At 36.8% G+C, this 24,762-nt stretch overlaps 1 protein-coding gene and 1 long non-coding RNA gene across 7 annotated transcripts in view; both read left to right on the forward strand.

Annotated features, from left to right (window-relative positions):
• PKN2 (protein kinase N2) overlaps positions 1–24,762 on the forward strand; it is a 151,983-nt gene that overhangs the window by 36,904 nt on the left and 90,317 nt on the right. For 5 of the 6 annotated variants that reach the window (XM_047425224.1, NM_006256.4, NM_001320707.2 and 2 more), the window contains one exon: positions 19,812–20,112. The exons of the other annotated variant lie outside the window; for it this stretch is intronic. In XM_047425224.1, the coding sequence (XP_047281180.1) occupies positions 19,881–20,112 (232 nt within the window). In that variant the 5' untranslated portion in view covers positions 19,812–19,880. The remainder of the gene's footprint in view (positions 1–19,811; positions 20,113–24,762) is intronic. 6 annotated transcript variants of the gene reach the window in all.
• LOC124904213 (uncharacterized) lies at positions 20,672–23,731 on the forward strand. The gene is made up of 2 exons (XR_007066210.1): positions 20,672–20,807; positions 21,565–23,731. It is a non-coding gene; the product is annotated as an uncharacterized LOC124904213 (long non-coding RNA).

A 24,762-nucleotide genomic window follows, 5' to 3' on the forward strand; every position in this document is an offset into this window, starting at 1 on the left:
TTAGTTCTTTAAGGAATCTCCACACTGTTTTCCGTAGTGGTTGTACTAGTTTACATTCCCACCAGCAGTGTAGAAGTGTTCCCTTTTCACCATATCCATACCAACATCTATTTTTTTTTATTTTTAAAATTATGGCCATTCTTGAAGGAATGGCCTTGTGTAAGGTGGTATCGCATTGTGTTTTTGACCCTTTGTTCTTAAGGGTCTCAGTTAAATTATATTGGTTAGTAATAGGTATACGGAACTAATTATCATTATTTCTTATATTGTTAGAACTGTGGACACAGTGGGGGGCTTGCCTGTTTTATCTACTGGGAATTCCAGGGATGGGAGAAGGTTCAGAATGAAAAAAGTGTGAGTACAAATAGAATCTAGACCTTAAGAAAGGTTTTTCTGATTATTGGGAGGTCTGCTTAATATGATTTTTGAAGTTACTTAAATTTTTAACATGGTTGATTTTGTATAAAGGAGGTATTATGGTAAGTTAATTAATTAAGGTCTTATTGGATGCCCTTTTGTGAATATAGTGTATTTTTCTAAAAAGTCTTTTTTGCATAGTAGGCTCACAAGAAATAGCTGATAGCTAGAAGGTAACTGGTTGACAAGAGGGTGCATCTACATAGGCTTTGAATTTAGGGTGCTTGGATAAACCTCAGGAATCTGTGAACCTCATGAAACCTCCTACCACTCTATGTGAGTGTGTGTGTGTGTGTTGCACACATGGAATTTTCTGAGGTCAGTTGCTTTCATCAGGATCCCATACAAATCTACATTTGTAATCTGCATCCCTATTCCTCATCCCAACTCCATATACATGCAACAGATTAAGGAACAGTACTAGACGAAAGTTGATAGAATTGATCAGTGGCATGGTGATCAGATGCTCTAGAGTCATTGGTAGGCTCTAGTACTTGTCTCATGATAATGAGCCCTCTTGTTTAAAGTACTCATAAAGTAAAATTATTTCTGTTTCAAGCACATAAGATTATAAGAATGTGGAATGTGCAGATAAGACAGGGAAATTAGTCTGTTAAGTAATCATTAAGAGGACAATTATTAATAAAGTTCAGATTTTACTCACTGTATAATATTCTTTTATGCTTGAATATGTATGCGACCTAATGGAAAGGAACAATGACTTGTGACTGAAAGCCCTTTCCATATTATAAACATGAGGTCTGTCTTTATTTCTGATTCTACCTGTTTATGTTTCCCAATACATATGTTTTCTTTTTGCCTAAAACGTTTTCTATAACTAGACCTTTGGAGGCAGGGAGGGGTGGAGATTGGATTTGGATATGAGGGATTGCTATTTCTCCCATAAAATGTAAAAAATTGCCTTAAAAATATCACTTTGAGAGGCTAAGGCAGGAGAATCGCTTGAGCCAGGAGTTCAAGACCAGCCTGGGCAACGTAGCACAGTGAGACCCCATCTCTACAAAAAAATTTAAAGAAATAGCCAACCACAGTGGCACGTGCCTATATAGTTCCAGTTACTCAGGAAGCTGAGGTGGGAGGATCACTTGATCTTGAGGGGTTGAGACTGCAGTGAGACATGATTGTGCCACTGCGCTCTAGCTTGGGTGACAGTGCAAGACCCTGTCTCAAAATAAAAAAAAAAAAAAGAAACGAAAAAAATTATTGATTGACTGTGATGTGCTGGGGACATAGTAGTGAGCAAGAAAGATTCTGCCTCTGCACTTAGAAAGCCTGTCTTATCATCAGTCAGGGAAGACAAATAAATAAAGGTGTGATGAGGGATATGATAGGAAATGTAAGTGGAATGTACTGTGGGTCACCTGGCAGGAGCATCTAACCAATATAGGTGAGATCAAGGATCGCTTTCCACCTCGACCTGAAGGATAAGGAGTTAGCCAGAGGAAAACTGTTCAGACTGTTCATTCAAACATGGTTCTTTGAATATTTGAAGCCAGGTATCTTTTTTTTTTTCTTTTGAGACAGAGTCTGGCTCTGTCGCCCAGGCTGGAGTGCAGTGGCTCAACCTCGGCTCACTGCAGCCTCCACCTCCCGGGTTCAAGCGATTCTCCTGCCTCAGCCTCATGAGTAGCTGGGATAACAAGTGCCTGTCACCATGCCCAGCTAATTTTATATTTTCAGTAGAGACGGGGTTTCACCACCTTGGTCAGGCCGGTCTCAAACTCCTGACCTCAGGTGATCCACCCACCTCGGCCTCCTAAAGTGCTGGGATTACAGGTGTAAGCCACCGTGCCCTGCCCCCCCCCCTTTTATTTATTTGTTTATTTTGAGACAGTCTTGCTCTGTCACCCAGGCTGGAGTACAGTGGCGCGGTCTCGGCTCACTGCAACCTCACCATCCCAGGTTCAAGCAATTCTTGTGCTTCAGCCTCCCAAGTAGCTGGGATTACAGGCATGTGCCACCACACCCAGCTAATTCTTGTATTTTTTAGTAGAGGTGAGGTTTCACTATGTTGGCCAGACTGGTCTTGAACTCCTGGTGTCAAGTAATCCAGCTGCCTTGGCCTCCCAAAGTGTAAATCCAGGTATCCTTTTTATGTTTTCATTTCAATGTACTTTTGCCTCATTTCAGGTGGCATAATATTTTTAGTTATCAAAATTCTATTTTAAGCAGTATTGGTGGAGTTTTAAAATCTAAAAGGCATGTATTTGTCCATTCATTTTAAAACACAGGATACTGAGCATATACACCCCCTTCTTATATAATATTTTGCCTTCTCATCTATTTTTTCTCTTTTGGTTCTCATAATAATATTGAGACGTAGGCATTTTTTCAATTTTAGAGATAAGGAGATACTCAAGTCACTTTAAGTTAGAGATGAGATTTTAGAGATAAGGAGATAGAGATTTAGAGATTTGAGAGAGAAGGAGATACTCAAGTCACTTGCTTTAAGTTAGGTAACTATTTAGTTAAGTTAGATAACTATTTAGTTAAGGAAAGCTCAAATCACTTGCTTTAAGTTAGATAACTATTTACTTAAGGAAAGCTCAACTCACTTGCTTTAAGTTAAATAACTATTAAGTGTTAGGACAAGGCCAGAACCCAGGTGTTTTGATTCCTAGTCTAATGTATTACACATTGTTTCTTATAATTAAATAGTTTCTTGATAGTTTATATTCATTAGTTCCACAGTATGATTTGTCTCCTAGGCCTTGAATCTTGTGTATCAGGTTAATTATCCTTATATTAAATAGTTGCAGGTGTTTCTGTATTTTGAATTCTTGGTGCAAATGTCTCTTGTTACATACTGCTCGTTTTCAAGTATCATCTTGTTATGCTACCTATTTTTTTGATTCATTACTTCTGATTTACTTTTTCCTGGTAAAACTAATAATGGATCTCATTAAATTTATGTATAACATTGAAGAAAGTGGCATTAAACAGTGTTCCAAGGGATTACTCTTTTTTTTTTTTTTGAGACGGAGTCTTGCTCTGTCACCCAGGCTGAAGTGCAGTGGCATGATCTCTGCTCCCTGCAACCTCTGCCTCCCAGGTTCAAGCAATTCTCCTGCCCCAGCCTCCTGAGTAGCTGGGATTACAGGTGCATGCCACCATGCCCGGCTAATTTTTGTATTTTTTAAGTAGAGACAGGGTTTCACCATGTTGGCCAGGTGGGTCTTGAACTCCTGACCTTGTGATCTGCCTGCCTTGGCCTCCCAAAGTGTTGGGATTACAGGTGTGAGCCACTGTGCCCGCCCCCACCCCTTGGTTTTTTTTTTTTTTTTTTTTCCTTCTTTTTCTTTGAGACAGTCTTGCTCTGTCACCCAGGCTGGAGTACGGTGGCACAATCTCGGCTCACTGCAGCCTCCCCATCCCAGGTTCAAGCAATTCTTGTGCTTCAGCCTCCCAAGTAGCTGGGATTACAGGCATGTGCCTGTAAGTAGTTACTTTTTATTGCTTAGTAGCATGCTGTTTTGTGAATATGCCACAATATGTTTATCCTTTTCCCCATGTACCCGTTGAAGAACATTGGGTTATTTCCAGCTTTTGGGTTAATACAAATGAAGTTACTCTGGGCATTTTTATACAGTTTTGTTTTCCTTTCTTTAGGGTAAATATCCAAGAGTGTAATTGCTAGGTCATGTTAAGTGTTACTGTTTAGATATATACAGTATTTAAATATATATGTTTAAATTTATAAGACAATGCCAAACTGTTTTTCAGAGTGGCTATACCACCTTACATTCCATACAGCAATGTATGAGAGATCCAGTTGGTGCTGTATTTTCACAAGAATCTTTGTATTATCAGTATTTCTTTAGCCATTTAAATAGGTGTTTATTAGACATCTATTATTGTGGTTTTAACTTGCAGTTCCCTAATAGCTAATGATGTTGGCAATCTTTTTATGTGCTTGTTTGCCGTTATATATCCTCTTTGGTGAAGTATCTGTTCAAGCCTATTTTCTAAATTGGTTGTTTCATTACTGTTGAGTATAGTTATTTATATATTCCACATATGAATCTCCTGTTACATATGTGATTTGCAAATATTTTCTTCTATTATGGTATGCACTTAGCACCTTTTGAAGAGCAAAAGTTTTACATTTTGATAAGTCCAATTGATCTTTTTTGTTTGTTTGCTTATTTTATGGATCATGCTATTGGTGTCCTACGAACTCTTCACTTAACCCCAGGTTATGATTTTCTCCTACATTTTTTTCTAAAAGATAAAGGGGAAAACACAGATTTTCTCATGGTTTTTACACTTAGATCTATGACTCATTTGAGCATACCAATTCTATACATATTTTGTTAGGTTTTTATCTATGTTTTAATTTTTTAGACAGATTGTAACTGGTATTGTGTTTTTAACTTTGTTGTCTACACAGTCATTGTTAGTATATAGAAGAATGATTATTTTTGTATATGGCTCTTGTATTCTGTGATTTTGCGAACTCACTTATTGTAGATGTTTTCTAGTACATTCCTTGGGATTTTCTATATACATGACCCTGTTATCTGCTAATAGGGGGAGTTTTATTTCCCAGTTTATATGCTTTTTATTAACTTACTGTAGTGGATAGAATGTCTGATATTGCATTGAATAAGAGTGCTGAGAGCAGACATCCTTGTCCTAATGCCGATCTTGGGGAAAAGCATTTAGTTTTTCACCGTTACATATGATGTTAGCTGTAAATTTTTTTGTAGATACTCTTTGTCAAGTTGAAGTTCTTTTCTAGTTTGCTTGGAGTTTTTGCCATGTATAGCTCTTGAATTTTGTCACATAATTTTTCTGCATAAGTTGGCGTGATCATGTGATTTTTTAAATCTTTATTCTCTTGATATATGGTGGATTATATTGATGGATTTTTGCATATTGAACCAGTCCTATATACTTGGAGTAAACCCTACTGTGTTGTATTGTATAATTCTTTTTCTTCGGTACTATATTCAATTTGAGTATATTTTGTTGAGGATTATTACATCTAAATTCATGAGAGAAATTAGTTTTTGTGTGTATTTCTTCTGTCAGGGTAACACCAACCTCATAAGAGCAATTGGGAAGTATTTCCTCTGATTTTCTGGAGAATATTGTATAATATAGGACTGTGCAGATTATGTATTTCATATTGGGTGAGTTTTGGTGGTTTTTTTTTGAAGAATTGGTTCATTTCATCTAAGTTATTGATTCATACTCTGTATGCTTATGTTTCTTCACATTTCTTTAGGTTTTATGATGCAGGCTGTGGTCTATCATGGTGAGCATTTTGTGGGTGCTTGCAAAGAATATGTATTCTGTTCTTGTTAGGTGGAACATTTCTATAAATGTTGCTTAAGTTCCCTTTTTGATGGTAGTGTTCTTTCTATTCTTCCTGGTTTTCTATTACTACTTCTATCTGTCTGAGAAAGGGATGTTGAAGTCCCCAACTATAATTGTCTATTTTTCAATTTCTCCTTATCAGTTTTTGCTTCCTGTGTTTTGAAGCTGTGTTGTTTCCAGAATTGTATTGTTAATGTCATCTTGGTGGATAGACTTTTTTATCATTTTTAATGACGCTCTTTTTTTTTTTCATTTTCTTTTCTTTGAAGTCTGCTTTTTCCTGGTATTAATATGGTTACTTTTTTTATTAATGTTTATATGGTATATTCTTTCCTATCCTTTTTAGCCTACCTGTGTCATGATACATTGAAACAGCATTCCTTTAGGTAACATATGGGTTTTTGTTTTTGTTTTTTAAGAGATGGGGTCTCACTGTATTGCCCAGTCTGGTCTTAAACTCCTGAGCTCAAGCAGTCCTTCCACCTTGGCCTCCCAAAATGCTGGGATTACAGGCAGGAGCCACTGCACCCGGCCCAAGGCCACATTTTTTTAATCCACTGTACCAACCTGTGTTTTAAATTTTTGTGTGTAGACCATTTGTATTTAAAGTGATTATTGGTATGTGAGGGCTTAAGTTTGCTATTTTATTGTTTTCTGTTCATTCCCATTTCCCTTTTCTTGACCTGTGGGCTACATGTGTATTTTTTTAGAATTCCATTTTGATTTCTTACAGTGTTTCTCCGTATATCACTCTTTTTTTGTTTTGTAGTTCCTTTGGGTATTATAATATGCATGTGTAATTTATCAGATTATTAGTATTGACATTCTCCACATAGGTGAAGTGTACAAATCTTCCATTTTAATCTACACTTTTTTCTTCCAATTTGATAATACTAACCGGACCACCTACTCTTGCCAGATGGGAAGTCCAGATCCCCACTCAGCACCCTCTAACAGCAAGGTAGGAAGCATCTGAGATGCCTGGCTGCGGTAGGGTTGGTATTTCAAAAAGATTTCTGTCTTACTGGGCTGCCCTGTTTTGCAGTTATTTGGCTAAAGAGAGCAGGTTTTTCTTGGGGCTTTTTTTTTTTTTTTTTTATTCTTTGGTTTTGGGTTACAGACTTCTGGCACAATCTGGAGAAGTCTATTAAAGGAAAACCCAGAGAATTCATATCTTGTCTTCCTCAAGACCTGAAGTTCCTAACTGGTCTGTTTTTTTCCTTCTACCTTCTCTGCTGTATTAAGTCCAGGGTGTTTAGTTGAATTTATGTGGGCTGGAGTGAAGAGATATAAGCCTACTCAATCTTGTTGAGAACCAGAAATTTGACAGTTAATTTTTGTTTTGGTTCTTCAAGCAGGCACATGTTTCTTTTTCTCCTTTTGGATAACTCAGTCATCTCTCAGGTCTCAATAAATACTACTTTTCTGGAGAAGGAAAATAAATACTACTTTTCTTGATATTTTAACCTAAATTACAAGCAGGTTTTTCATTCTTTGCTGTTATCAAAATTTTTAATTGTGGTTTGCTTATCTAATGTCTTTCTTCTCACTAGACATACACTCCTGAGTGTAAGGGTTATTTTGTTTTTGTTTTTTTAATGGACTTTATTCTTGAACAGGTTTAGATTTACAGAAAAATAGATAACCATATAACTACTGTACTTTCGTTGATAAAGTTGTTTCCCATGGGGGCATGGGTTAACAGTTCTGATCCTGCTATACGTTTTACTGGAATTGAATGATTCAGTAAATGGATGGTAGATGGTAGGAGCCAGGTTTCTCACTGTTGGAGTTGGGATTTACAGATAATCAACGGGAGGAGGCTAGAGTGATCTGTGTTTTGATAGATTCAAGTTGGAGACGTCATTATGAACTCATATTTAGCTTAATATAGATCATGTCTTTTTCCCCCCACAAGTCTATAGCCAATGTCCAGTGATGTTATTAACATCCCCATCTTTTTTTTTTTTTTTTTTTAGATGGAGTTTCGCTCTTGTGCCCAGGCTGGAGTGCAATGACACGATCTCGGCTCACCACAATCTCTGCCTCCTGGGTTCAAGCGATTCTCCTGCCTCAGCCTCCTGAGTAGCTGGGATTACAGGCATGTGCCACCATGCCCGGCTAATTTTGTATTTTTAGTAGAGATGGGGTTTCTCCATGTTGGCCAGGCTGGTCTTGAACTCCTGACCTCAGGTGATCTGCCCGCCTCGTCCTCCCAAAGTGTTGGGATTACAGGCATGAGCCACTGCGCCCAGCCAACATTTCCGTCTTTTAAATTAAATTGTTACAGTTGTTATCCAGTAGGAGTCCACAGAAAGTAATCGATAATAATTGTATTTGAAAAGACTGCTTAGAGCTATCATCATTTCTTGCCTAGATTAGTACAATAGCCTCTTTATTATGTGTCTATTGCAGCATAGCAAGCTCATCTCAAGATTCTTCGGGTATACTAGGTGTTTCTTTTCCTGGTCTCAACTGGGCTCACTTATGCAGCTGTATTCAGCTGGTGGCTAAGCTGGACTGGAATGCCTACTGTGGCTTCACTCACATGTCTGGTGCCTCAGCTGGAAAGCTTTTGTTCTCATACACATGGCCTCTTTCCACATGGTTTCTCTCGTCTTCCATGTTGTCTCTCTTTCAAGCAGGATAGTTTGGACTTCTTTATATAGCAGTTGGTTTCTAAGAGCAAAAACAAGCTATGAGCTCTCTTGAAGCCTGTACTTGGAACTCCTGCACATCAGTAGAATGTCACTTTAGTCAGAGTCCCTCAGAAGACTACCCTCAGAGTCCATGTGGAAGGGTGTGAATGCAAAGAGGCAGGATTCACTTGAGGCCATTTTGTAACAATGCACCATAGCTTCGCAACATGTTGCCCTGCCTCCCTTGAAATCTATTATTTCTTAACACAGGTCAGACTATATCATTTCTTTGCTGAAACCCTGCCCTGAGTTTCCATTTCATTCAAAGTAAAAACCAAAGTCTTCTTTGGGAGGCCAAGGCGGGCGGATCACGAGATCAGGAGAGCGAGACCATCCGGTTTACACAGTGAAACCCCGTCTCTACTAAAAATACAAAAAAATTAGCCGGGTGTGGTGGTGGGCGCCTGTAGTCCCAGCTACTCCGGAGGCTGAGGCAGGAGAATGACGTAAACCCGGGAGGCGGAGCTTGCAGTGAGCGGAGATTGTGCCACTGCACTCCAGCCTGGGCGACAGAACGAGACTCCGTCTCAAAAAAAAAAAAACACCAGTCTTTATATGGCCTACAGGGCCCTATATGATCTTGCCTTAACCAAATAGGGATTTATTTTCCATCTGAAACAAGAAGTAGAAAGGTAGCCAGTCTAGGGCTTGTGTAGCAGTTCAGTAAGGCCATCAGGGACCCAGAAACAAGAAGTAGAAAGGTAGCCAGTCTAGGGCTTGTATAGCAGTGCCCAGTAAGGCCATCAGGGACCCAGGCTCTCTCTCTTTCTGCTCTGCCATCCTTAGTGTATTGGGTTTTGTCCTGTTTGTTCCTCGTTACAAGATGACTGCTGTACTTTCAAGCCTTGGGTCTGCATTCTTGGCAAATAGAAAAGGAGAAGTAAAAGCTTTCATCAAAATCCTGGATTTAGTTCTCTTTGATGAAACTTGGTAATGTGGTTACTTCTGGCTGCAGGAGAGCCTGGTGAAATGAGAATTTTAGCTGTAGACATTGTTTCATCTAACAAAATGGGAGGTTTTCTTTTTTATTATTGTTTTTTAAGTGAGGATAATAGGAGGATGCTATTATGTAGGCACCCAGCACTATCTGCTTCAGTACCAACTATGTGCCAGAAACTGTACTGTTGCTATGAAAGCATATTTTTTCAGTGGGCATGGCCGTTATGAGACTTAAAAATAATATGGTCAGGCAGTTATAATAATTCCATTTCACAGATGAGGAAATCGAAGCTTTAGCATGATTGCAGTATCAGAATTTATACATGGTCATTCTGATGCCAAATGCTTCATTATTTCCATAACACAACATTCTAACTGAGCCTTCTGTTCAAAACAAACAAACAAAAAACACAATATGGCCTACATTTGTGTGAAGCCTTTGCTGCTCTTTCAAATTATATTTGGTTTTCATGTCTGTCTTCTTTAATAAATTGAATACCAGAAAGAAAGAAGGATCAGGTCATTTTTATCTTTATATTTCATTACCTAGAACTCAATGCATGTTTTGAATAAAGTTTTTTTTTAAACCTTGTATGATAGGGAAACCGAAAGATAGATAAGCAAACAGGTACAGATAAGTAGGATAATACGCTTGAATTGGATAGCCAGTACACTGGGCTTGTGTTTGAACTGGTTTCTTGCTTTCTAGTTGAGAGCACTTTCCTTTTGAGGCACAGAATGTTGGATTAGGATGAAATTAGAGAAGAAGAAATGTGTTCTGCTAATATCCCTGGCTTAAGGCAGGTAATATCTATTAATGCAAATCAATCTGGTCAAGATGTAGTTCAAATATAGATAAACGGGTATTTCAGAGGGCCCCTGGAAGAAGATGGTATGGAGTAAATAAAAACGCAATTTACCAGGAGTCAGAAGGACTAGTAAGCTGAACCCAGCCAGGTCTCTGACAGCTGGTTGCTTAGCTGCTTTAAGCATGCTTTCCCCAAGACTAAAATCAAGAAAGTTAGACTAAATGGTTTTTGAAATTCCTTCTAGCTAACATAGTATATGAATCATTGTATCCAGTGAGTTTTTATGGGTACTCTAACATTTCTTGGCATCTATCAGGTCAGACTGTTTTATATTTCTGAAATGTAGAGAGAGTAACAGCTTTTTCACTACTCTGGGAACTGGGCCAGTGAGGAGTAAACATCCTCTCCTGTCTCTCCCTAAATGAAGTACTTGGTCACGAGTGACAGTCCATTTTCATTTTGTTCTTTGAATCTGGTCTTGTTCTTATTTCAGTGTTTTTCTTAACTTTACTGTGAGTTTGTTGAAGTATATTAAATTGAAAATGTCAGTTTATGTTTGAGTCTAAAAATAAGAATTTCATTATTGTACAAAGTAAAAGTCATTGTATTTACCAAATACATATTATCACATTTGTGTATTTGAAATACTTGACTGGCACATGAGGTAATTTAATTACAATGTACTGTGTAGTCTGTAGTTTGGTCCCTTGTAGTAGAATTGTGTTGAATGAAAGTGGCAAGGTTAAGTAGCAGATATAATGTAGTATAAGATATGATTATAAGCTTTTACATTTTCCACAATTGAAATAAAGTTAATATTACTTTTGGTTCTTTTGGTTTCTTTTAAATAATGTCTTTTCCTTATTAGGCAAGGTTAAAAAAAGAAGTGGAGAAAATTTTATTGTCAAAAAAATAGAGAAAACATGGAAAACTTTGAAAAATAAAATGGAAATCCCTCTTAATTTATCTTTCCCTCTATTTTTAAAGTTCTTATTTTTAACATAACTTGAAATAAAAGTGTGTTTACACAGCAGTATATCAGCTGCATATACTGCTGTTAACTAATCAAGGGCACAAATAAGGGAAACCTTTCTTTATTCGCTAGCTGACTTGAAATTCTTTTGTTATGACACTTAGGTAGCATCTTGAACTTTCTCTTTTCTAAAGTTGGTTTAAAGCCCTGATATTTGTAAGCTTTATAAGGGAGTCTGTCTGTGCCCAATACAGTGCATTGAACATATTATTAATTTTAAAATTATTGAATTGACCATTCTATATAACAAAAATTTCTAATTATTATCTTAGGTTAGATTTCTTGAGTTTTATAATTCTATGTCAAAGAGAAACACTATTTTTAAATTTCTTGTTTTATATTCCCAACTTTTTAAATGAAGTCTTGTAAGTGGATAAATAAAATATAGTATATATACACAATGGAATATTATTCAGTCATAAATAATGAAATCTTGTCATTTCAGACAACGTGAATGTACCTAGAGGACACTAAGCCAGGCACAGAAAGACAAATACCACATGATCTCATTCATAGGTGGAATCTAAAAGGTTGTTCTCATAGAGGTAGAGAGTAGAATGGTAGTTATGAGAGGACGAGAGGGGAGCAGGGAAAAACGGGTAGGGAAGGATGGGTTAATGGGTACAAAAAAGTTGGGAATATGTAACAAGAAACATAAAAATAGTTATTCTCTTTGATAGACATTTAGGTTGATTCCATATCTTGGCTATTGTGAATAATGCTGTAATAAACATAGGAGTGCAGATATCTGTAAAACATACTGATTTCATTTTCTTTGGATATATATACCCAGTAGTGGGATTTATCGGATCATGTGGTAGTTCTGTTTAAAATTTTTTGAGTAGCCTTCATGCTGTTTTCCATAATGGCTATACATTCCCACCAGCAGTGTATAAGGGTTCCCTTTTATCCATACCCTCATCAACACCTGCTATCTTTTGATTTTTTGAGAGTACCTATTCTAACTAGAGTGATGTGATATCTCATTATAGTTTTGACTTGCATTTTTTGATGATTAGTGATGTTGAACATTTTTTCATACACCTGTGGGTTGTTTGTATGTTCTTTTTTTGGAGAAATGTCTATGTAGGCCTTTTGCCCATTTTTTGATCAGGTTATTTGTTTGTTATTGAGTGTTTGAGTTCTTTATATTTGGGTATTAACCCTTTATCAGTTGTGTAGTTTGTAAATGTGTTCTCCCAGTCTATGACTGGCATCCTTGCTCTGTTGATTGTTACCTTTACTATGCAGAAGATTTTTAGTTTGATACAATTCCATTTGTCTATACAGGTTAAATATCCTGTATCTGAAATGCTTACAACCAGAGTGTTTTGGATTTGGGATTTTTTCAGGTTCTGGAATATTTGCATTATACTTAGTGGTTGAGCATTCCAAATCAAATTTTGAAAATTCAAAACGTTCCAATAAGCATTTAGTTCGAGTATCATGTTGGCAATCAAAAGGTTTCATAGTGGCTCACGCCTATAATCCCAACAATTTGGGGGGGTCAAGGCAGGAGGATCACTTGATGCCATCAGTTCAAGACCAGCCTGGGCAATGTAGCAAGACCCTGTCTTTACAAAAGATAAAAATTAGCTAGGCATAGTGGAGCCCACCTGTAGTCTTAGCTACTTGGGAGGCTAAGGTGGGAGGATCACTTGAGCTCAATGTTTCAAGGTTGCTAATGAGCAATGATTGTACCACTGCACTCCAGCCTGGGTAACAGAGTGAGACCCTATCTTTAAAAAAAAAAAAAAAAAATTTGGAGCGTTTTAGAGTTTTGGATTTAGAATGCTCAAACTGTTTTTGCTTTTGTTGCCCATGCTTTTCAGGTTTTGTCCAAAATATTCTTGCCTAGACCAGTGACATGGAGCTTTCCCCTATATTTCCTCCATATTTTCTTCTTGTGATTTTGTAGTTTGGGGTCTTACATTTAAGTCTTTAATCCATTTTGAGTTGAGTTTTGTCTGTGGTGAGAGATAAGAATCTAATTTCATTCTCTCATGTGGATATCCAGTTTTCCCAACACCACTTGTTGCCCTTTTCCCATTGAGTGTACTTGGCCCCTTTGTCAAGAATTAATAAACTGTAGATAGATGATTTATTTCTGGACTGTCTTCTGTTCCATTGATTTGTGTGTCTTTTTTATACCAGTAGCATGCTATTTTGATTACTATAGCTATGTAATGTGTTTTGAAGTCAAGTAGTATGATGCCTCCAGCTTTGTTCTTTTTGCTTTAGATTACTTTGGCTATTTATGTTCTCTTGTTGTCTTTCTTTATGGTTAGGTGATTTTCTCTAGTAATGTGTTTTGATGGTTTCCCTGTTATTTTTGGTGTATTTCTTATAGGTTTTTGCTTTGCAGTTACCATGAAGCTTATGAAAAAAATCTTAAAATGAGATATTTGAAACTGATAGCAACCCAACTTTGATTGTAAAGATAGGAAAAGAAAGAAAAAGCAAACTCTACTTTTAACTCCATTTTCTCCCACATTTGTAATTTTTGATGTCCCATTTTACATCTTATATTACCCATCTCTTGGCAAATTAAAATAGTTATTATTTAATAGTTTTGTCTTTTAGCCTTCATATTAAAGATACAAGTGCTTTATGTATCACATTTATAGTATTATAGTATTCCATCTTCCAGTATACTTACTAGTGAGTTTTATACCTTTAAGATGTTTTCTTGTTACACATTAGAGTCTCTTTCTTCATTTAAAGAACTGTTTTTAGCATTTTTTGTTTGCTTGTATGTTCGAGACAGGGTCTCACTCTGTCCTTCAGGCTAGAGGGCGGTGGTGCGATCATGGCTCACTGCAGTCTTGATCTCATGGACTTGAATGATCCTCCCACCCCAGCCTCCCAAGTATCTGGGACTACAGCCACACGCCACCACACCCAGCTGATTTTTTAATTTTCATTTTTAGTAGAGTCAAAGTCTTGGTATGCCACCCAAGGCCTTGAGCTCCTGAGCTCAAGCAGTCCTTCCACCTTGGCCACCCAAAGGGCTGAGATTACAGATGTGAACCATTGTTCCTGGCCTATTTTTTTTTAACATTTCTTGTAAGACATATCTGATGATGATAAATTCTCTTAGTTTTCATTTGTCTGGCAAAGTCTTTATCTCTGCTTTATTTCTAAAGGATAGCTGTGCTGGGTACAGTATTCTTGGTTGACAGCCCACCCCCCCCCCCCCCACCCCCAATCTTTTTTTTTCTTTAACAATTTGAATATATCATCTCACTCATCCTGACTTATAAGGTTTCTGCTGAGAAGTCTATTGCTAGACAGATTGGGACTTCCTTATATGTTATTTGCTGCTTTTGTTGCTTTCAAAATATTTTTGTCTTTGATCTTTGAGAATTTGATTATGGTATTTCTTGGGGTACACTTATTTGGGCTGTATCTGATTGGTAACCTTTGACCTTTCTGTACCTGGATAATTTGTATCTTTCTCTAGTTTTGGGAAGTTTTGTGTTATTATCTCTTTGAATAAGCTTTCTTCCCATTTGTCATTCTCAATTCCCTCTTGAAGCCCAGTAACCCAAATATTTGCTCTTTTGATACTGTTGCATTGTTCTGTAAACTTCTTCATTCCCTTTTACCCTTTTTTTAATTGTTTCTCCTCCAGCTATGTGTTTTCAAATAGCTTGTCTTCAAGCTCAGATTTTTGTATCTGATAGATTCTGCTGTTGATATTCTCTACTGCATTCATTTTGTTCATCGTATTTTTCAGCTCCAGGATTTCAGTTTGTTTAATCTCTCATGTTTCTCTGATAAATTCCTGGATTCTTCCCCTGTGTTTTATTGAAGTTCATTGAGTTTCCTTAAAACAGCTCTTTTGAATTCTCTGAGACATCACACATCTCCATCACTTTAGGGTTGTTTCCTGGTGCCTTATTTTGTTTGTTGCATGAAATTATGGTTCCTGAATGCTTTCTTAAAATTTTTTTTTTTTGAGACAGAGTCTCACTCACTCTGTTGCCCAGGCTGGAGTGCAGTGGAATGATCTCGGCTCTCTGCAGCCTCTGCCTCTCAGGTTCAAGCAGTTCTCCAACCTTAGCCTCCTGAGTAGCTGAGATTACAGGCATGTACTTCCACTCCTGGCTAATTTTTATATTTTTTAGTAGAGACAGGGTTTTACCATGTTAGACAGACTGGTCTCAAACTCCTGACCTTAGGTAATCCACCCACCTTAGCCTCCCAGTTGTTGGCGTGAGCCACTGTGCCCGACCCCTGAATATTCTTCATGCCTTTGGCCTGCCCTGACATCTGAACATTGAGGGATTAGCTGTTTATTCCCCATTCAAAGCCTGGTGGTGGTTTGTTCCTGTTCTTCCAGAAATTCTAAGCAGGGCGATTATTGTGTTCTTTGAGCCCTTGGCCACTATCACTGTTTCAGCACTAGATGGCACCGTAAGCCCAGGTTTGCAGTGAATTCACAGTTGGTTTGTGTTCTGGCCCAGATTGACTAGGGGAGAGACTGGAGTGTCTCTCTGGGTGTGTGAGTTTCCACTGGGGCCAGGACACGTTAGGCACTGTGTCACTCTGCTCAGTGCTTGGGCCTCACCATGGCATGCTCCAAAGCAACATTGTGTACCTGTTCCCCTCTCATTCTTTCAAGCATCAGTGTCTCCACACTGTGCTGCCTGGGGTTGAGGGAAGGGGTGGAGCAGGCAGTATTGTGGCCAGGACGGCCACCGTAATGCTAGCTCACACCTGAAAACCATAGCTGCCAAGACAAGCACAGCACAGGGATATGCCCAAGACCCATGGAACTATAGCCTGCCTGCTGCTGAGGTTTATTTGTGGCTCAAGTCCACTGCAGACAGACAGTAGTGATGTACCCCTGAGTCTATTCCACTGAGGCCATGTCTCTCTGCCTGACACTGAAATGAGTTCAGAGGCACGGTCTTTGGGTGCCAGCCTGGGATCAGTGGGCCATCAGATTTTGCCCAGTGTGGAGTCTTACCATGGCAGACTTGTCACTGAGTCAAGATCAAAGTACTGCTTTTGTATCCCTCTTTTTCCCCCAGTAGATGGAGGCACTCTCCAAGCTGTGCTGCCTAGGGTTGGAAGAAGAATAATGGGGTCCCAGTCCTGCCACCAGGACTACTACATCCCCGGGGCACCAATCAGGCCCATACCACTGTAGCCTTCCTGCTGCTGAAGTTCACTCATGGCTTGAGGCTACTGTAGATGCCAGAACACAAGTCTGTCATACTGAGGCCACAGGTTTCCACATAGTATCGGGATGGGTCCTTGTCTGCCTAGCTTGGTCTGGGGTTAAGGGGCATGGGGTTCTGCCTGGTGTTGGGTTTCACCACGGCAGACCCAGTGCTGAGCTACAAGTCAAAAGTCCTGCACTCACTTCCCTCTCCTTACCCCAAGTGGGCTGTGTCTCTCTCTGTGCTGTGCTTATAGTTGGGGGAGAGGTGATTCAGGCATTGTACCTCTGTCTTTCCTACCCTCTTCAGTTGATCTTTTCTTAGTAATGCTAAAACCAGATATGGTCATCTCTGATCTGGTTCCTTGGCTCTTGCGAAGTTACTTTCATGCATAGATCATGTTCAAATTTATGTTTCTGTGGGGAGTCAATCGCTGGAGAGTCTTATTCAGCCATCTTGACTCTGCCTCTTCTCCAAATTCTCTTTATCAGATAGAGGGAAGCATGAGTTCCTCAGCAGTGGCAGGTTTTCCTTAATTGTAAAGGAAGAATATTAAATAACATAATGGACAAGTCATTAAAAAACAAACAAACAAAAAAAAACCAAACTAATCTGCCAAGCATAAGCCCTGCCCTCAAATTGCTCATAGTCTTTGAAGAGTGGTCAGATAAAAAAAAGGGGTAATTGTTTCAATAAGGTACACAATATCAGAGCACACAGGAGAGGCATTCAACTAAATTCTAAAGAAAGGCTTTGGACAGGAAATTGTTTCCCAGCAAGAGTTGTTCTTGATCTTTGAAACAAAGTAAAAGTTAACAGGGTCAAGAAGATACTTGAAAGAGATAACTGCAGGAGAAAGGAGAGATGGTGCATACCAAAGGTGAAGCATGCTTAGTGGCTGAGCCAAGAGAGATGATTTCTTGAAGTAAAGTTTTATAATTTGATATGATTGGAGTTTAAGGAACAAAGTGGAAAGAAATGGGAGTTGAGGTAGGCAGTAAACGAAAGTGTTAGGTATTTCTTCTGGCCTATGAGAAATAAGGAATAATTTCCTGAGATATTAAGAGTACCATGAACAAGGAAATTTTGCAGACCTCTGGCTTTGGACATAATATTAAAGAACAAATCTGCGAAAGCAGTTCATAAAGTGTTTTCTGATAAATGTGTAAGGATTGAAACAAAAATATTTGGAGGAATGGAACTAGCTTAAACTATTTTTTATCTAAGCATTTTTTGCCTCAGTCCACTTTACCTGAAACTAGACAATATGAATTTGGGATTTTATTCTTTGACAATAGACATGTGCTAGTGTTGTTGACAACTTGCCAAGGATAGACACTTAAACTTTGGAAACCAAATGGATCGTAGGACTTATATTCCATTATAAATAGTGAAAAATCTAGACAGCATTTTGGCTCAGGTAGAAGATCATTGTTTATCTGTATAGTGACAGATCAGAAATACAACTTCTAACAGGTGTAGATTACCTGTTTTAGGAATTCTTAACCTAGGATCCGTGGAACCTGGTAAGTATACATAACAACATGAAATTTTCTTTGTACTATTTTTTGTTGGCGTTTCAAAGGAATTCTTAGCTAGAAACAGGCTGGGCACGTGTTTCATGCCTGTAAACCCAGCACTTTGGGACGTCAAGGTGGGAGGATCACTTAGGCCAAGAGTTTGAGATCAGCCTGGACAACATGGCAAAATCCCATCTCTACCAGAAAAAAAAAGAGATTTATAGAAATCAACTACTTCATATTTTGCATAATATACCTGCAGGCACAAGGTAAATTGATATGAAAACCAAGACGAGATCCCGTATCACCCATAAGCTCACCCTTTTCACTATTTTGCATGATACATAATTTTTAGAAATTAAGAATGAATGTAGAAAGTACTTGCATCAACTTATTTATATGGGTGTGAGGAATTCTCAAAAAATTAAAGAAAATCTTTGCATTAATTAGGTCTGTGATTCAAAGGTACAAAAAGGCTGCACAGTGTGTCTTTTTCTTTTCCATGTCCTTCATAAACTCAAATCTCCTCCCTAGAGGTAACCATTATCTTTGGTTTCTTGTGTTTCAGAATTTAAACATTTTAAATCCAATGGTATTATAGTAATGGACTTTGAAACAGTAAATGATATAGAAATAGCTAGAACATAACTTTAGTTGTTGTAAATATAGATTAGCTGTGCTTAACTGATTGGATTTTCATTTTAAGGTGACTGTACTGTGTATTGTCTTAGCTTCCATCAATAGAACACAATTTAGAGGTGTTCTCAAGTAATGATGCTTTTGTACTGAGTCAACCAAATTACCAATTGGAGTACTTAGCCTTGAAGTATACAGTTGGCCATTCATATCTGTGGATTCAACATCTGCAGATTCAACCAATTGCAGATTGAAAGTATTAGGGGAAAAAAAAAATAAAAAATAATACAAATAATACAGCATAGCAACTATTTACATACCACTTGTATTGTGTATTATAAATAACTAGAGATTAAAGTATGGGGTGTGTATTTAGATTATATGCAAATACCACACCGTTTTATATAAGTGACTTGGTCATCTTTAGATTGTGGTATATGTGGGATCCTGGAACCAACCTCCCACACATACCAAAGAACAACTGTATAAATGGAGTTCTGAATATAGTTTTCCCAAGCCCTAGTACATTTAATTCATTAACTAAAAAGTGGTCATAAAGGTATCTATTTTGCCAATATTCATTTATTTTTAAGAAGTTTCTTACAGAAGATAAAATGATTCACCTATTGAATTTTTTTATTTGTATAAATTTAAGGGATACAAGTGCAGTTTAGTTACATAAATATATTATGTAGTGATGAAGTCTGGGCTTTTAGTGTTTACCTATAGAATTTAATAATACTTTTTATTTATTAAGTGACTGCAGTGACCCAGTACTTGTATTTAGAACTTCATTTACAATATTTGTGAATTATCACAGTATCTCTAAAAGGTGGCTACTATTATTATTTAGATTTTGTAGACTATTAAAACTGAGTATTTGAAAAGTTAAGTAACTTGCTCAAGGTTCACAGTGTAGGGGTTGGGATCTAACCTGGGTTCCTAAGATACCAAAATCCGCTATCTTTACACAGCCTTTGTGTGTAGATGTGTTCACTTTATTTTAATATAAATGTATTTGTCAAGTAATGCTACTTAGTAGCCAGTGAGTTCTTGAATTTATGATTTTGTATGGTTATAATAAAAGTCAGTAAGTAGTTGGTCTATTGCTTATTAAGGAGATAATTAAATATAGTTAAATGTAATGTAATCAAGAAAGACTCTCTTAGGCTGAAAACACTGCATATTTACTGAGCAGCCAACTCTCCTAAACTCCCACATTTGTATGTTTATTTTTTCTGTAGGGGGATTCCCGAAGTCTTCCGTTTTCTGAGAATGTGAGTGCTGTTCAAAAATTAGACTTTTCAGATACAATGGTGCAGCAGAAATTGGATGATATCAAGGATCGAATTAAGAGAGAAATAAGGAAAGAACTGAAAATCAAAGAAGGAGCTGAAAATCTGAGGAAAGTCACAACAGATAAAAAAAGTTTGGCTTATGTAGACAACATTTTGAAAAAATCAAATAAAAAATTAGAAGAACTACATCACAAGCTGCAGGAATTAAATGCACATATTGTTGTATCAGATCCAGAAGATATTACAGGTATAGTAGTGCTTTATTTGATGTTTATATGGTATATTAATAAAAAAAATGTATCTTTTTAGAAAATAGTAAGTTTGGGGACATGAATAGTTTTTAGCTTTTCTGAAAGTAGAGAGACTTTTTCTCTTTTGGTTAAGGTCTTATTTATATTCTGTTTAGAAGGGCAGGAGTTGATAGGTATGGAAATTGAAATGTTTACTTAGAATTTAATAACCCTAATGTATTCTCTCTTACTCTCTATCAGTAGGACGTTACTTAGAGTGAGTCTCCAGTATTAATGTTTTGTATTGAGTCAATCACATGCTTTTACGTGATTCATCCTGTAATCAACAGCACAAGTTTGCCAGCTGACTTAAAGTTAAAACTGTGTTCTTTGAACAAGAGATAGTTTTATTATTTGCAAATGTAATTAGTCAAACCTATGGCCTTCATTCTTTGTGCTCTAAGCAACTGAATTAACAAGTAAACTACTAGGCATAGTGTTCAAAAAAGAAAAACATAATAGAAAAAACTGTTACACATTACTTTTATTTTCTTTATAGAAAATAAGAGGAAAATATAACCTATGATTTCAATATAAAAACATAATTTTTAAACAATAGAATTAATAAATATTTATGTTGGAATTTTTTTAATGGTACAGAAAATAAAGATTGAAAACCCACCTCTTTCTTTCTTAGACCGTCTCCTTAAAGGTAACATTACTTTTTGTTGTATATCCTTCCAGATAAAAAATTCTATATTTGTGCCAATATTCACCCATCAGTATGTATAGTCTTTCTATAACTTTTCATACAAAAACTTACGTTTAAGTTTAAGCCAAGGCCTCAAGACATTATCAATCTCTGTAACTGTCAATTTTTTTATTTGCAAAGAAAAAGAGTGTGAGAGTGTATAGAGTAATACACCTATAGCATGGTAGAAAATTTAGAAGAACGTGTGTGATTAGCTAATAAATAATAGATGTAAGTAATTTTAATTTTGATTAAGAAAATACATAAATTTGGCTAAGAACCTTAAATTTTTACCATCTCAAAAGTTGCAGAAAACACTACTGATATTTAGTGTTCTTGTTAAAACTTGTTTTTCGACATCACTTTCAACATCTGGGATTTAGGGCTTTTATTAGGAGGCTCTCTGTGTAGAGATTTCAACCTTGTAAGAATAATCGAAACTTTAAAATGAAAGAAATAATAGGAAATCCACCTTCTAATTTTAGATTGAAATAATCCCAAAGATGCAAATTAGTTTTTTCAGAATCACCAATCTAGTTAAAAAGAACGCTTCAGCTCTTCATCTAGTATTCTTACACACTCTATAATTATGTTATAAATGGAAATAATGTATTATGAAAATGCTGTTTTTTGGTAATATTATATAAACTTAGAAATAGCCTGTTCCATGGAACTCTGCCAAACTCTACATTTTTTTTTTTGCCTGTTACATCTTTAGGAGCGGTCTAAAATAAGAAACAGCACTGGAGCTGTTTATTTAGAGAAATTTTCCTCCTCACAGAATACTGATAACTACCTTGTGATTCGCTGGGATATAGAAGAGTTTTATCATCACGAGGAGCCCATTTGGTTTCCCCATTCGTTTTATAAAAGTTAACTTTATTGTGGCTGGGTGCAGTGGCTCGTGCCTATAATCCTAGCACTTTGGGAGGCCAAGGCAGGCGGATCACTTGAGGCCAGGAGTTCAAGACTAACCTGGCCAACATGGTGAAAACCTGTCTCTACTAAAAATACGAAAATTAGTCGACGTGGTGGCGTGTGCCTGTAGTTCCAGCTACTCGGAAGGCTGAGGCATGAAAATTGCTTAAACCCAGGAAGCAGAGGTTGTGTTGAGCCAAGATCGTGCCACTGCCCTCCAGCCTGGGCAACAGAGAGCGATTCTGTCTCAAAAATAAAAGGTTTATTGAAGTATAAATTACGTATGACAAAATGCACGTATTTTAAGTACATGATTTAATGATTTTTAACAATTGTGTGTGTGCACCCAGCTAACCATCTCTACAATCGATCTAGAACATTTTCATCACTTCAGTGCTTCTCGTATATTCCTTCCCAGCTAACCCATGATCCCCAACCCTGGCCATAGGAACCCGCTGATCCATCTTCTATCACTTTAGATTGAATTTGTCTTTCCTACTGTTTTATATAAAGAAATTACCTCCTTTAAGTCCTATCAAATTCCTGATCACCCTTAAAAAACAATTTTTAGGTATTACCATAAAACCTTCCATGACATTCTCTGCTTTATCTTCTCTGTGCTACTTTGTCCATTCATTGTTGCATTGTAATGTATTTCTGTACATGTTATATCACTAAACTGTCTCCTCCTTGAAGGGAGGGACATGTGTTCACTCATCTATTTTCAAGGCTTATTACAGAAACTGAAACATAGTAGATGCTTACTTGGGAATATTATATCTCAAAATAGAAAAACACCCAGCAAATCGCATCTTATATTAGTCTTTAGAATTAGTATCAAAGCCTAATTATTATGACACTTGAAACATTAAATAACTTAGAAAACAAAGACTTAAAAGTTTTATGATAAAGCCAGAAACTTTTTATACTGACCATTTTTAATACTGACATTTCAGATAATTGGAGGGCAGATGATATATGAAATATAACTTTATACTGTGACTTCTTAATACTTCAGTTTGTTTAGAATAAACTTGATAAGTTCGTCAAATTTTTATTTTATTAAAAAAATTCTGTTTGCAAATGGCATATTTACACAACTTGGTAATAAGTCATTTTCTCTTTTTTCCATTTTACTAACTTAACAATCTAAAAGCAACAACCACAACATAGAGGATTAAAATTAATGTCATTAATTTTAGGTCAGTTTGCCATAAAATTTTAGATGTTTTACCTTGCACACTAAGGTAATCCCATGAATTTATTTTAGATTAGGTCTGGCAAGAAGATTTCAAGGACATTGTGCTTTGCTTTCAGTTCTGAAAGGTATGAGTGGATTTATAACAGAAGTGTTTGACTAATTCCTGTTGTCTTGTGGGTACATAAGCTTAGTAAGCAGAACAAATGACTGAAGGAAAGAGGGACAAAATTTAAGTCTGCATTGTGTAAATCATTACTGTCTAAGTGGTTAGGGGACTTCTGTTTTTTTCTTTGTTTTTGAGACTGCGTCTCCCTCTGTCACCAGGCTGGAGTGCAGTGGTGCCATCTCAGCTCACTGCAACCTCCGCCTGCCGGGTTCAAGTGATTCTCCTGCCTCAGCCTCCCGAGTAGCTGGCACTACAGGCTCCATGCCACCACAGCCAGCTGATTTTTGTATTTTTAGTAGAGGCAGGGTTTCATCACATTGGCCAGGATGGTCTTGATCTCTTTACTTTGTTGATCCGCCCACCTCGGCTTCCCAAAGTGCTGGGATTACAGGCATGAGCCATCCTGCCCGGCTAGGGACTTGTTCTTAATTCACCTCTGTAATAATAATCTCTGAATCTTCAGTTTCTTGTTTGTAAAATAAGGATTTTTATCAGATGAACTTTTAAACTATAAAACTCTGAAATATTCCTTATTGTAATGTCAAGGTCTGATTGTTTGAGAAAGTTATTTGTAAAATAAATGTATTCATTTATTCTTAAGAGTAGTAGGAAATGAATTTTTTATTTTCTCATCATGCCCATGATACTCTGAGCTTCTTGTTCATCTTCTAAATACTTTAAAGATGATCATATGATTTTTGCCCATAAGAGTATCCCCATAGGAGCAGAAAAAGCATTTAAGAAAATTCAACATTTTTTCGTGATAAAAATTCTATGAACAAATTAGGTATAGAAGAAATGTTTCTCAACACAAGAAGGTCTATATATGACAGGCCCACAACTAACATTGTACTTAATGGTGAAAAGCCGAAAGCTTTTCTTTTAAGATCAGGAACAAGATCAGGATGCTCACTCTCAACACTTCTTTTCAGCATAGTACTGTTAAGCCCTAGCTAGAGCACTTAGGCAAGAAAAAGAAATAAAAGATATACAGATAGGAAAGGAAGAAGTGAAATTGTCTGTTTGTGAACAACACAATCTTACATATATGTATAAAATTCTAAAGACTCCACCATAAAGCTGTTAGGACTAATAAAGGAATTCAGTCAAGTTGCAAGATACAAAATCAGCATACAAAAGTCAGTATCATTTCTATATACTAACTATATAATATCTGAATAAAATTAAGAAAACAATCTCATTAATAGCATAAAACATACGTAGTAAATTTAACCAAGAATTGAAAGAGCTCTATATAGAAAACGATGAAAGAAATTGAAGATGGTACAAATAAATGGAAAAATCTCCTGTGTTCATGAATTGGAAGACTTAATATTGTTAAAATGTCCATACTACCCAATGTGATCTACAGATTCAAGGTAATTCGTATCAAAATCCCAACATCATTCTTCACAGAAATAGAAAAAGAAATCCTAAAATTTATATGGAATCAGAAAAGACCCTACACCATCTTGAGCAAAAAGAACAAAACTAGAAGCATCACACTACCAAATTCCAAAATATTACAAAGCTATAGTAATCTAAACAGCATCATAATGACATAAAAATAGACTCATTAACCAATGGAATAGAAAAGAGAGCCCAGAAATAAACCCACGCAATTCAAATCA

This window comes from Homo sapiens, chromosome 1 (genome assembly GCF_000001405.40).
Source record: "Homo sapiens chromosome 1, GRCh38.p14 Primary Assembly".
In the NCBI taxonomy this organism is placed as follows: domain Eukaryota; kingdom Metazoa; phylum Chordata; class Mammalia; order Primates; family Hominidae; genus Homo; species Homo sapiens.